The sequence below is a fragment of the Homo sapiens genome, chromosome 12 (genome assembly GCF_000001405.40).
Source record: "Homo sapiens chromosome 12, GRCh38.p14 Primary Assembly".
NCBI classification, from domain to species: domain Eukaryota; kingdom Metazoa; phylum Chordata; class Mammalia; order Primates; family Hominidae; genus Homo; species Homo sapiens.
Genome location: NC_000012.12, coordinates 108380246 through 108391690, shown reverse-complemented (window position 1 = coordinate 108391690; position 11445 = coordinate 108380246). Strand labels below are relative to the sequence as shown.

The window sequence follows — 11445 nt, the reverse complement described above, 5'->3', positions numbered from 1 at the left end:
CTTGGTTCAAGTCAATTTATTTTTGAGAATCTTTCCCGATGTCCCCATGAAGACCCTCACTGGATCACACATCATTTGTCAAATGCTCTGGCCTTTCTCCTAGATGTTTAACTTTGCAAGGTCAGGAACTGATGCTTATTTACTCATTATATCCTCAGTTCCTGGCACACAGTAGGTGCTCAATAAATGTTTGTAACATAATCTAAAAAATGAGTGTTTCAGAATGTATGATACCAGTGGTTCCTGATAATACTGATGATGATGATGATAATAATAATAACAATAATAAAAGTGGAAAGCTAAGGTGGATGTTACCATTCTCATTTTATAGTTGAGGAAATGGAGGCTCACAAAAATGGAATGCACCAGTGCAAGGACCTTCTAGTTTTGGAAACTCACAGAACCAGCCCCACCTCCTCTCCTCTGTGCATATCAAACTGGGAGGCCATGCAACCTGGTGGTGGAGGTCATCAGCCCCTTCTTGGTGCAGGCACATTGCAGCTTAGGAAGCTTCTCCACTTATAGCTGCCCTTTCCCAACTCATTGTCCCAGTCTGAGCCCCGAGTCTCACGTGGACTATTGTAGCAGCCTCCTACAAAGATTTCTATAATAGGTCTCCCTGCTGGAGTCTGCCCTCTGTGCACTGCGGGGAGTCAGAAACCCCAGCTGCTCTCATGTTCCTAATCTTAACAGCCCTCAATGGCTGCTTTTTGCCAGTGAAATGAAGTCCCAGGCTCCTTCGGGCTGACATCGAACACCCTGCACAATTGGCCCCCAGCCCCCATGAACCTTCCCGACCTCTTGTCCAGCTTCCATTTTTACTCTTGTATTTGCCCCACCCTCCAGCCTAACCAATCCAATCCTTGTTTGTACCATCCCCCACCAACTTCCCAGCCCCATGTTTTTTCTTGTGCTGGTCGTTTTGCCTAGAATGCTTTTCTTTCTTATTTCATTGTGGGAAATGCCTCTTCACTCTTCAGGGCCCAGCCCAGACACCCTCCTCCTCCAGGAAGCCTGCCTTGATTTTCCCCAGCTAGAAGTGATCTTTCAATTCACAGAGCACTTTCTCTGGTCTTTTTGAGCATATGCCTCCCCAAACTTCTGTTTGAGCTCTGTGTGCCCTTGCTTGTTACCCCAAAACCCTACCACAAAGGAGGCCCCCAGAAGGTGTGTCCAGGCAGCTAGCAGAAAGTGGGCATTGTAAAATGGATATTTGCCTGATTAATTCATTCATTAATGAAGGATGAATGAGTGAATGAAAGACCATGAAGTTGCAAAAGTTCAGGCTTTAAAGCCATACAGACCTGGGTTTGAATCTACTTCTGGCACTCACCAGCTGTGTGGCTTTGGACAAGTCTCTTTACCCCTCTGAGCCTCAATCTTCTGGGTAACTTTTCAGGGCTATTCAGAGGATTGGGCATAATACAATAGAGTGACCAGCACATAGTAGGTGCTCAACAGATTGATGTGTTTTTTTGAATGAATGGATGAATATGGAGGGTGTTTGAAAGATCATGGATTTTGACACCAGCTGGATCTGGTTTGAACCTACCTCAAACCAGGTATTTTGATTGTATTTTGTGATTGTGATGACTTTAGGAATGATTTTTTACCTGTATGACCCTCAGTTTCCTCCTTGGTAAAATGAGAGTAACTAACAGTCCTTAGAGGCAGGGTTATGATAGGGATAGAGATACTTCATTTACAGTGTCAAGCTCATAAAAATGAGTAATACTGCCATGATGATGATGGTGGTGGTGATGATGAGGATGATGGTGATGATGGTGGTCATTGTGGTGATTATGATGGTGATGATAGTGGTAGTAATGGTGATAATGGTGGTGATGATAATGATGATGGTTGTGATAATGGTGATGGTGATGATAGTGATGATGATGATGACTGTAATAGTGGGGATAGTGGTGATGATGGTGGTGATAGTCGTAATGATAATAATGATGGGGATGATAATAATGGTGATGGTGATGATGGTGGTAGTGATAGTGATTGTGGTGGTAATGGTGATAATGGTGGTGGTGATAATGATGATGGTTGTGATAATGGTGGTGGTGATAATAGTGATGCTGATGTTGATGGTGATGGTGGGGATAGTGCTGATGATGGTGGTGATGGCTGAAATGATAATGATGATGGGGATGATAATAATGGTGATAGTGATGATCATGATAGTGTTGGTAGTGGTGATAATGGTGATGATGATGGTGGTGGTAGTGATCATGATAATGATTGTGATGATGGTGGTGGTGATGATGGTGGTGGAAGAGGAGGATTAGGGAGGGCTTGACCAGTCTTGGCACAAATTTCCATGCCCCAGCCAGCATTCTTCTGGGCTGCCCTCCAAGCTGGTGACTAGTGTCCCTTAGTTCCCCTGGGGTTTCACTGTAATGTCCTCCTACTAGCTAGCAGCTATCCTTCCATCATCTGCTCTTCTTCCTCTCTCCCCATCAGGTACTTTAATGAGGGGCCAGCACCATCCATAGCCAGGCTGGGCCCCATGTAGGGTGATGACTGAAAATGGAGCCAGGGCAGGTCTAGTGAGAGCTGCCAGTGCAGGCTCAGTGATCAAGGTAGATCATGGAGTCAGGTGAGCCTAGGGGTCTCAGTCCTGAGCCCTGCAGGGGTCTCAGTTGTGTAACAGCATCAGCACCACATGGGCATCACTTACAACAGTTATTCCTTCGTGTGATCTTGCCTAGGGGGAGTGAAGAGGGGCTTTTCTTCTGTAGAGGCTGAATCTGCCTCCCTGAAGCTCCTCCAGGTTAATGCTGGCTCTGACTTCTGGACCCACACAGAATATGGGTGTTGTCTATTCCCTAGGATTCTAAACCTCATAAAACAACAACAGCAACTGAAATGATATCTTAGCTTGGGTTCCCCTGGAAGCAAAGCTGGAGACAAGGATTTGTTAATATGGGAAATGAGTTTATATATGTATATGTGTATATATATATAAGTTTATATGGGAAATGAGGGAAACAGAAGGGGAACAGGGAAGTGAGACAAGGAAGGGAAGAAGCCTAAAATGCATCCATTATTAAACCAGTCATCACTGTGGGTGGCTGGAGCCCAATCCCACTGGGAGGCTCTGGGAAACTGTGTGGAAAACATGCCTCAGAGTTATCTTACCTGAGGAGTTGGGGAGCTTTGGTATTTGATCATTGAGGATGTTGCTAGGAGGCACCGATGCCCCAGCACTTCAGGCCAACCTTGGACCTGAGAAAGCCCTCAGGTGCTGACAACAGAATTGGGCCAATGTGCCCTGAAGTGGTGAGGGCAAGGGGATATGGGTGGGCTCCAGAGGGTCTGTAACTCATGTATTGACTCATGGATTTTTCAGTTAAGTCCTAATGATCCCTGAGAAGGTTCATTTTGTGTGTCAATTTGGCTGGACTAAAAGATGCTGATAATCTGGTTAAACATTATTTCTGGGTGTGCCTGTGAGGATGTTTCTGGAAGAGATTAGTGTTTAAATAGGTGAACTGAATAAAGCACATTGCCCTTCCGGAGGTGGGTGGGCATAAGCCAACCCACTGAGGGCCTGACTAGAACACAAAAGCCAAGAAAGGTTGAATTTGCTCTCTGCCTGAGTGCTTGAGCTGGGACATCAGTTTCTTCCTGCCCTCAGACTGAGACTTACACCATTGGTGTTTCTGGTTTTCAGGGCTTTGGACTTGGGCTGAAGTACATTGCCAAATTTTCTGGGTTTCCAACTTGCAGATGGCAGATTGTAGGCCTGCTAAGCCTCCCTAATCATGTGAACCAATTTCTCTCTCTCTCTCTCTCTCCCTCTGTCTCTCTCTCTCTCCCTTTCTCTCCACCATTGGTTCTGCTTCTCTGGAGATCCCTAATATAATCCCTTGTATTGGTCCATTCTTGCATTGCTATGAATAAATACATAAGACCGGGTAATTTATAAAGAAAAAAGGTTTAATTGGCTCACAATTCCGTAGGATGTACAGGAAGCATGGCAGCATCTGCTTCTGGAGAGGCCTCAGGGGGCTTCCAATCATGGCAGAAGGCAGAGTAGGAGCAGACATCTTATGTGGTGGGAGCGGGAGGAAGAGCAAGTGGGGGGAGGTAATACGTACTTTTCAGCAACCAGATTTCCTGAGAACTCTATCTCGAGGACAGCACTAAACCATTCATGAGAACTCTACCCCCATGATCCAACCACCTCCCACCAGGCCCCACCTCCAACACTGGGAATTATAATTTGACATGAGATTTGGGTGGGAACACAGACCCAAACCATATCATGCCTATTTTACAGATAAGGAAACTGAGGCTTGAAGAGGTAATGTGACCTGCCCCTGCCCAAGCTCACATACCTTGTCAGTGGCATCGCTTCTCTCCCCAATAACTCCCTTATGAGATGATTTCATCCAGGTCATCTGTGAGTAATCATGACAGAGAAGCTGGGGGACTGTGTGGGAGGCAGGGGTGGGGCAGGGCTGCTTCTGGGAAATTTCAAATCTATTCCCCCAAGAGTATTTCCACTCTCTGATTGGGATGTGATGGGTCACAAGAGAGTGGATCCAGGCCCCTTGCTTGGGCCCCAGTGAGTTTCCCTGCACCCGAAAAATGCTCCTGCCGTTAAATAATTCACATCTGCAGATGGTCTTCATTTAGCACCATCCATCAGCCAGTTATTTTCAAATAAGCAAAAACCTCAGGCATAAATTATTCCTGCAGGGTCAACGGGTCTGACAGAGCACATCTGCTACCACCAGCCGAGTGTCATGTGACCATGGGACTGCAGCCTGGGGCCTGCATTTCCAGACGTGTCAACCCCACATCACACCGAAGAGTAAGAAGGATGATAATTTTTTCAGAATTTGGGGTCATGAGTTTTAACTCCAGATCTGTTTGTCGTTTATTTCAGCCTATCCAAGCCTTTATATCTTATCTGGAAAACAGGACAATCAGTTTCTCCTCACAGCACAGTGAAATTTAAATAAGATAAATGAAGACTTCTGTTATAATGCCTGGTAAATAGTAAGTGCTCAGTAAATAGTCCTTTTTCCTTCCTTTCTCTTTCTTTTCTTTCCTGTTTACATTCTTCTGTTCTACCTCTTGTTTGCTCTCCCTCCCTTCCTTTTCTTTTCCTTCCTTCAATGTCAAGAATCATTCATGCCTCCTGTAGCAAATGCTGTTGGTGTCCCACCTGCAGCCCTCCAGCATTCATGGACCCTGAACATGCTCACAGACTTCTGTGGCCAGCACCTGAGTCTTCCTGTCTGAAGGCATTCTTCAGCCATATGCATACTCAGTCTGCAATGGGACTGGCCAGAAATGCTGGGGAGACACAGCCCTTCAAACCAAGCAAGGACGGTTAGTTTGTGGATAAATACCCTAGTTCCCTCACCTTCCAAGTGAGACCACTCTGAGCATATTCTACACTGTCTCCCAGAAGTACCCAGTGGGACTGAGCCCCAGTCACCTCTGCCCTGCTCATCAATGCCCTATCTATTGGCTTCTATCCTTCCCTATCTTATTTCCCCACTTTCCTACCAGTGCTTTTTAGGGTCACTTCCCAGATAAATAACTGTGCCCAAATCTGTCTCAGGGTCTGCTTCTTGGAGAACCTAAACTAAATCAGATGCCAAGAGGCTGTATGTGATGAGGCCACTGAAGACTTCAATTCAAACAAGTTGCATTCCCAGATTTTCGGTCTCAAGGACCTGTCCTCGGGGCCCCACCCACAAAGTTCTGGCCCTCATAGTCTGTGGTCTTGAAGGCTATTTAAGATGAATATAGACTATGCAAGACTCCTCTAGTCATTCCACCAGGGAGTAGCCAGAGTGATCTTTCTAAAACAAAAAACAAAACAAAACAAAACAAAACACAAAAACAAAAACAAAAAATAAAGCCTGACTGTGCCCTTCCCAGAGCCCTCAATTCCAAAGTCACCTACGTGGCTTACAAGGCTTTTCATAATTAGGCCTGAGGCCTGCTCCTGTCTCATCTCTCATCCTACCTCCACATGCTCCTTTCCCTTCAGCCAGGATGTTCTATTTCCATGAAACACTCTATGCTGTCTGAATCCTCCTAGCCCTTGTTCACACTCTTCCCTCTTCATGGAGTTCTCTTCTCCCCTACTTTGTTTGCCTACTAAATTAGTCATCAAGACGCAACTCATGTTACCTCCACTATGAAGCCTTTTTCTCCTTTTGTTCCTCCTCTGTGCTCGAGTAATCTTAATGGTGGCTCCTACTCCTGTGCCTTTTCAATACTGAGGCCAGTGGGAAGGAGAATTTGACCCTGTCCCAGAAGTCTCTGTAAAACCTCTTGCTATCTCATTGACAGATGGAGCCATATGTCCCCCACCCCTGACCAACACCCTGACCAGAGGAATGCAGGACTCAGATTGGCCAGGTCTGTTCATTGGGATTCCTTTAGCCATGCATGATCTTAACACCTCACGGATTAACAGTGAGGAGGGAGGAGTTCAGGATGGCTGACGCTTTGCCACAAATGTTCCCTCCATGGCTTCAGTGACTTTCTTTTCTAATTCAAGAAACTCACTTTAAAAGATGAATTTTATTGATTTAAAATTTTTGAGTTAAGCAGTCATATCTAGGCAAATTTTGTCTACTTATGTGCAGATAATCTAGCTGTTTATTACTCAACAAGACTCAAGGCCTGACTAAATCTCCATGGCTCTTGGCTTCACCTATTGAACTCTTGGTTTTATCACCCAGTCATCATTTCTTCTCCATAAAGGTAGCCTGCATGAAGATGGGCTGTATTTTTAGCTTACTTTTTTCTGTAGATGTGGTGGGGGTGGGTCTAAAGTCCTCTTTTTAATTTGTGCAGCTTATGCTTCTTTCAATACAAGTGGGCTGTGTTTCTGCCAATACATTTCTCTTAAAAATTTTGTGGGTCTTTTGTGAATCTTATTGGGGGCTCATTCCATTAGAAAAAAAAGCCACACTCATGAATCTCATTGGCATAAACTTTTCTCTACCTCAAACTTCTGCTGAGAATCCCAAGGCAGTGGAGGCATAATACCCTTGCTTATTAAAAGTTGCATGGTTTGACTGATTGGTTATCTTAGGTCTTTATGAGGCATTAATAATGAATTTTACAGTCACACCCTCAACTTTATATTGTATTTCCTGACAGTGTCCTGGATTCAACCTTTGCCCAGATATCTTTCTTAATTTTGGCATCACTTGCCATCTAGAGACACAAGCAATTTTCAAAACCAGCAAGCCCTGGCTTCTTTTTGTTTATCAGTCATTCCTTCAGGTTGTCTCTTGCCTCTTGCATTTTACTATAAACAGCAAGAAGAACCAGGTGTCATCTTTAATATTTTGCCAGGAAATCCCCTTGTTTAGATAACTGAATAGACTATACATATTATTTAATTTCCATTTTACTACAGGTGACAGTATGGCTAAACTCTGCCACTACATAACAAGCATCCCCTTTCCTCTGGTTCATTATTTATTCACATATGCACTCACTCATAAGATTATGAACTCAATCAATATTTATAGAAGGAACACATGTCCTTACAATCATAACACAATCTCAGGACCTGCTGTCATGAAGCTTACCTTCTATCAGAATCTTATGTAGTTCCCTTCTCCTCCAGAACCCTATGAAATTATTGGTATTATTATTTCGATTTTACAAATGAGGGAGCTTGAGCTCAGAAAGGTAAAATCAATTTCCTAGGGCCTCCCAGATAGTAAGTAGAGGATCTGGTGTCTGAACTCAGTTCTGTTTGATTCTAGAATTCTTATGTGTAAGTGCTACTATTATAATTCTCTTTCCTGGAATTCAATTTCCACTGTCCTTGTCAAGGTCTGAAGTGGTGTCCATCTCTTCATTGAAATTTTCTGGGAATCAAGCTGTTGACTTTCCCCTACAGATACATTTTTTTTAAGGTAGAGATGAATAAAGATGTACATTTAGAAGCAGCCAGGTGCCTAGAATTGCTTTTTAATGTGGGGGCTTTGGGAACTTCTCACAAGACCTCACTGCCCCCTGATGCTCCATTCAATAAACAGGAATGACAGAGGTGCTCTGAGCTTCCCCTTGGGAAGGTAGGACCAGGACAGGTTTGCAAAGTGTTGAAGTCATTGACTTTTGAAGGACGCTTGGGGGAAGAGAGAAGACACAATGATTCAGGCAGGAAAACTAAATTATATGGTCATAAATCCCCAGGAAATTGCTATTTTCTCTCTTTTGCCCCACATCATGCCACCTTACTAAGTCACAAGATGCTCTCAAAAGCTTGATAACACCATGGGATCTAGGGCAAGACATGTGTTTAAGGAAGGGCAGACCCTGTTCCCTGGATGCTGCAAAGTGTGCTGCAACTTCTTGATCTTGACCTCTGGTTAGAAATAGGGGGAGCTTTCATAAGCTGTAGAAAAACTTAGTTTTCTGAGCAGCCTGTAAGACACTGATCTCACCTTTAGCTGAAAGTGTGGGCTTGGTCTGCAGCCGTGGTGGCTTCTTACAGTGAAGGAGGCCTAAGGCTTTTGCTGTGGGTCTTGAAGACCCAGGAGGGGAGGCTTCCACTAGCACCTGAAGTGTTCCCCAGGGATTTAGTTTAAAATCCTTCTCCTGCTCTTCTCCTGCCTCATCTCTGCTGTTCTTCCCTCTCTCACTCTACAGGAGGCCACACTGACCTCCTTGTTTTTCCTCAAACATAATCAACTCTCTCCAACATCAGAGCTTTGGAACTTTTTGTCTCTTCTGCCTGAAATGAATGTCCCCACATTTTCCTACAAGTAGTCCCTTCTCAACCTTCAGGTGTCAGTTCAATTGTCACCTACTCAGGGAGGCCCTTCTCAACCACCTTATTTAAAGTGACATGTGTTCTCATATTATCTTTTTAATCATATCCTCCTGTTGATCTTTTCTACAGCACTTACTGCAGTCTGTAATTCTTTTAAAAACTTGTTTACCTTTTTTTTAAACCTGTTTACTGCTGCTCACCAGAAGAGATAAATATAGAGTTTTAGGTTCCTGGATTCTTTAAGTCTAGAAGGACAGACTCAGGACTGGGGCAATGAGGGTGATCCCAGCTGTGCACTGCAGGGAGAGCTGTTTACTTAGATTGCTGGTTCTCAGGTGGAGGTGATTTTGTTCCCACTCACTGGGGATGTCTGGCGATGTCTGGGAGATGATTTTGATTGTCATGACTTGAGGGTGGTGTGGGGTGGGTGCTTATAAACATTCTGCAATACATGGGAAAAATTCCAGAGTTATCTGGCCCCAAATGCCAATAGTGCTGTGATTGAGGACCCTTGACTTAAACTATAATGTCAACGTCACTCATACACACATCTGCCTTCACACAGATTCAGGCATTTTTCTTGGGATGCCCAGAGGCTTGGAGCTGTCTGTGGTGCTGAAGCAGACCACACTCCAAGCCCCTGACTTTCTTAATCCCGTTCAGATCCCTGTTTCTGACCCCACTCAAGACTGTTGTATATAGAATCATACAATATTGAAGCTGGAGGGTTCTTAGAAGTCAGCTAATCTAATTCCTCTCTTTTGTACAAAGAGGACACCGAGGCCCAGAGCCCAGATTTGCCAACGGTCACATTGTACCTGCAAGTGCAACTGTCTCCCTCCCCCCGCGAACAATGTTCCTCCCAGGACATCTTGGCCAATGACATTTTGCCATCTGAGGGTTGTTAATGGAGTTGTCCCCCAGTTGAGGCAGCTTGTCTCTTAATCACATCGGAAGTAGAAAGAAAATGACTTTGAAGATTTGTTCCGTGGTGCTCAGGGTGGCTGGGGCAGGCAGGCCCTCTCTGGGTGCCTGGGGTGAGACAGCTTGTCTGGCAGGGAGCTAATTGATTCTTTAGGTTAGTGCTGTTTTGTGTGCACAGACAAATCTGGGCATCCATTCTGCCTAATGTGTCACTGAGCATTTCCTCTGAGCTCCCCAGCCCCAGTCTTTTGCTGCTGACTTCATGGAACTACGTTTTGTGAAACTTCTCTCTCTTCTCTACCCATCAGAAAAACAAATTCAAGGAGGCTATTCTGTTGGTGGTGGTCTTCATTGAAAACCTTATTTTCATGCACCTCAAGAGACTGTCACCTACAGCTGCCCTCTGTCGAGAGCCTCTTACGTATCAGGTACTTTTTCTATTACCTCTGATCTTAACAACTCTGTGAAGTAGACATCATTTGCTGCATTTTAAGAGAGAAAAACTGGATCTCAGAGAGGCCAAGTAGCTTTCCCAAGGTCACACAGCAAAGAAATGGCAGAGCTTTGATTTGAACTCCATCCCACCTGTCTTTCCTATAGATTTATTATTCTCCAAGTGTGGTCCCCAAACCAGTGGCATCAACATTGTTTGGGAATTTGCTAGAAATATACATTTTCAGGTCCTCCTTATTCTTGGGTTTGGTTTTGGACAAACCCAAGATTTCTAACATTATCTTATGGAATTATAATCCCCATTTTGCAGATAAGAAAACTAAGCAGAAGTCAGCTTGTCCAAGGTCCTGCAGGGAGTAAGTGGCAGGGCTGAGGGCAAACCCTGATCTCTTGCTCCCTCTCATCCAATTCTGCTCATGATTCTTGTGTGCCTGATTCTTTCATCTTATTTCTCAGACAGGGAGGGTGATAAAAAGGACCCTGTTCTACTCACACAACTGGGGAGTGGTAGAGGCAGGATTTGGATCCAGGTCTTTCAGAATCAAAGCCTGTGTGCTGGGGTCTGGTCTATCAAACTTGGGACTTGGTCTCAAAAACTCCATAAAGGAGCCAAGGTGGATCTTAGAAAAGAGCAAAATCTTCAGTGTAAATGTGTATGGCCTTAGGCAAGCCATTTCACTTTTCTCTGCCTCAGTTTACCCATCCTACAGTTACACAATGCTTATCAATCACGTGTATTTGTTGTTATACTTGAATGCAACAATGACCCTGAAAGATATTTTAACAATGACAACAGCATTGGCTATGTTTTATTGAGCATCTACTGTGTACCAGGCATGATGTCTGGAGATTTGTAAATTCTAACTCCTCAATTCTCACCCCATGACATAGGTGCTTTTGTTCAGTTGGGTGAGCTCTTGGCTTCACTTGCTTCATCTGTACAATAGGAATGATGTCATAACTACCACACAGTGTCACTTAAGTATTACATGAGTTAATGTATATAAGTTATTTAAATGGAAGCTGGCACATAGTAAGCACTAGGTAAGTATCATGTCACCATGCACATCTTGGAACAGGGAAACTGAGGCTCAGAGAAGCAAAAGACTTGCTCAAGACCATATAAACAAGGAGGAGCTGACCCCAGGGTCTTACACCTATGTTTTGTGACTTTTATATCTGCTTTTTCTCCTCCCTGTTCAGAGCATCGACTGATTTGGGTGTCCATTCTCCCTTTTTCTGCCTCAAACATCAGGATGGGATACCCCAGCCTTTATAAATTTAGTCTGTCC

The 11445-nt window shown here is 44.3% G+C and overlaps 3 annotated features.

Annotated features, from left to right (window-relative positions):
- Positions 645-939: an enhancer, noted in NCBI's record as "tiled region #8786; HepG2 Activating non-DNase unmatched - State 23:Low, and K562 Activating non-DNase unmatched - State 22:ReprW". NCBI's record gives its function as "activates a minimal TATA promoter and a strong SV40 promoter by Sharpr-MPRA in HepG2 and K562 cells {active_cell/tissue: HepG2 | K562}" and the evidence as "EXISTENCE:reporter gene assay evidence [ECO:0000049][PMID:27701403]".
- Positions 4111-5310: an enhancer, noted in NCBI's record as "P300/CBP strongly-dependent group 1 enhancer chr12:108780158-108781357 (GRCh37/hg19 assembly coordinates)". NCBI's record gives its function as "activates an origin of replication core promoter dependent on BRD2, BRD4, P300/CBP, MED14 and CDK7 cofactors, with strong dependence on P300/CBP, by STARR-seq in HCT116 cells {active_cell/tissue: HCT116}" and the evidence as "EXISTENCE:reporter gene assay evidence [ECO:0000049][PMID:35650434]".
- Positions 9292-9492: a silencer, noted in NCBI's record as "peak1933 fragment used in MPRA reporter construct". NCBI's record gives its function as "represses an SCP1 promoter by STARR-seq MPRAs in K562 erythroleukemia cells {active_cell/tissue: K562}" and the evidence as "EXISTENCE:reporter gene assay evidence [ECO:0000049][PMID:32103011]".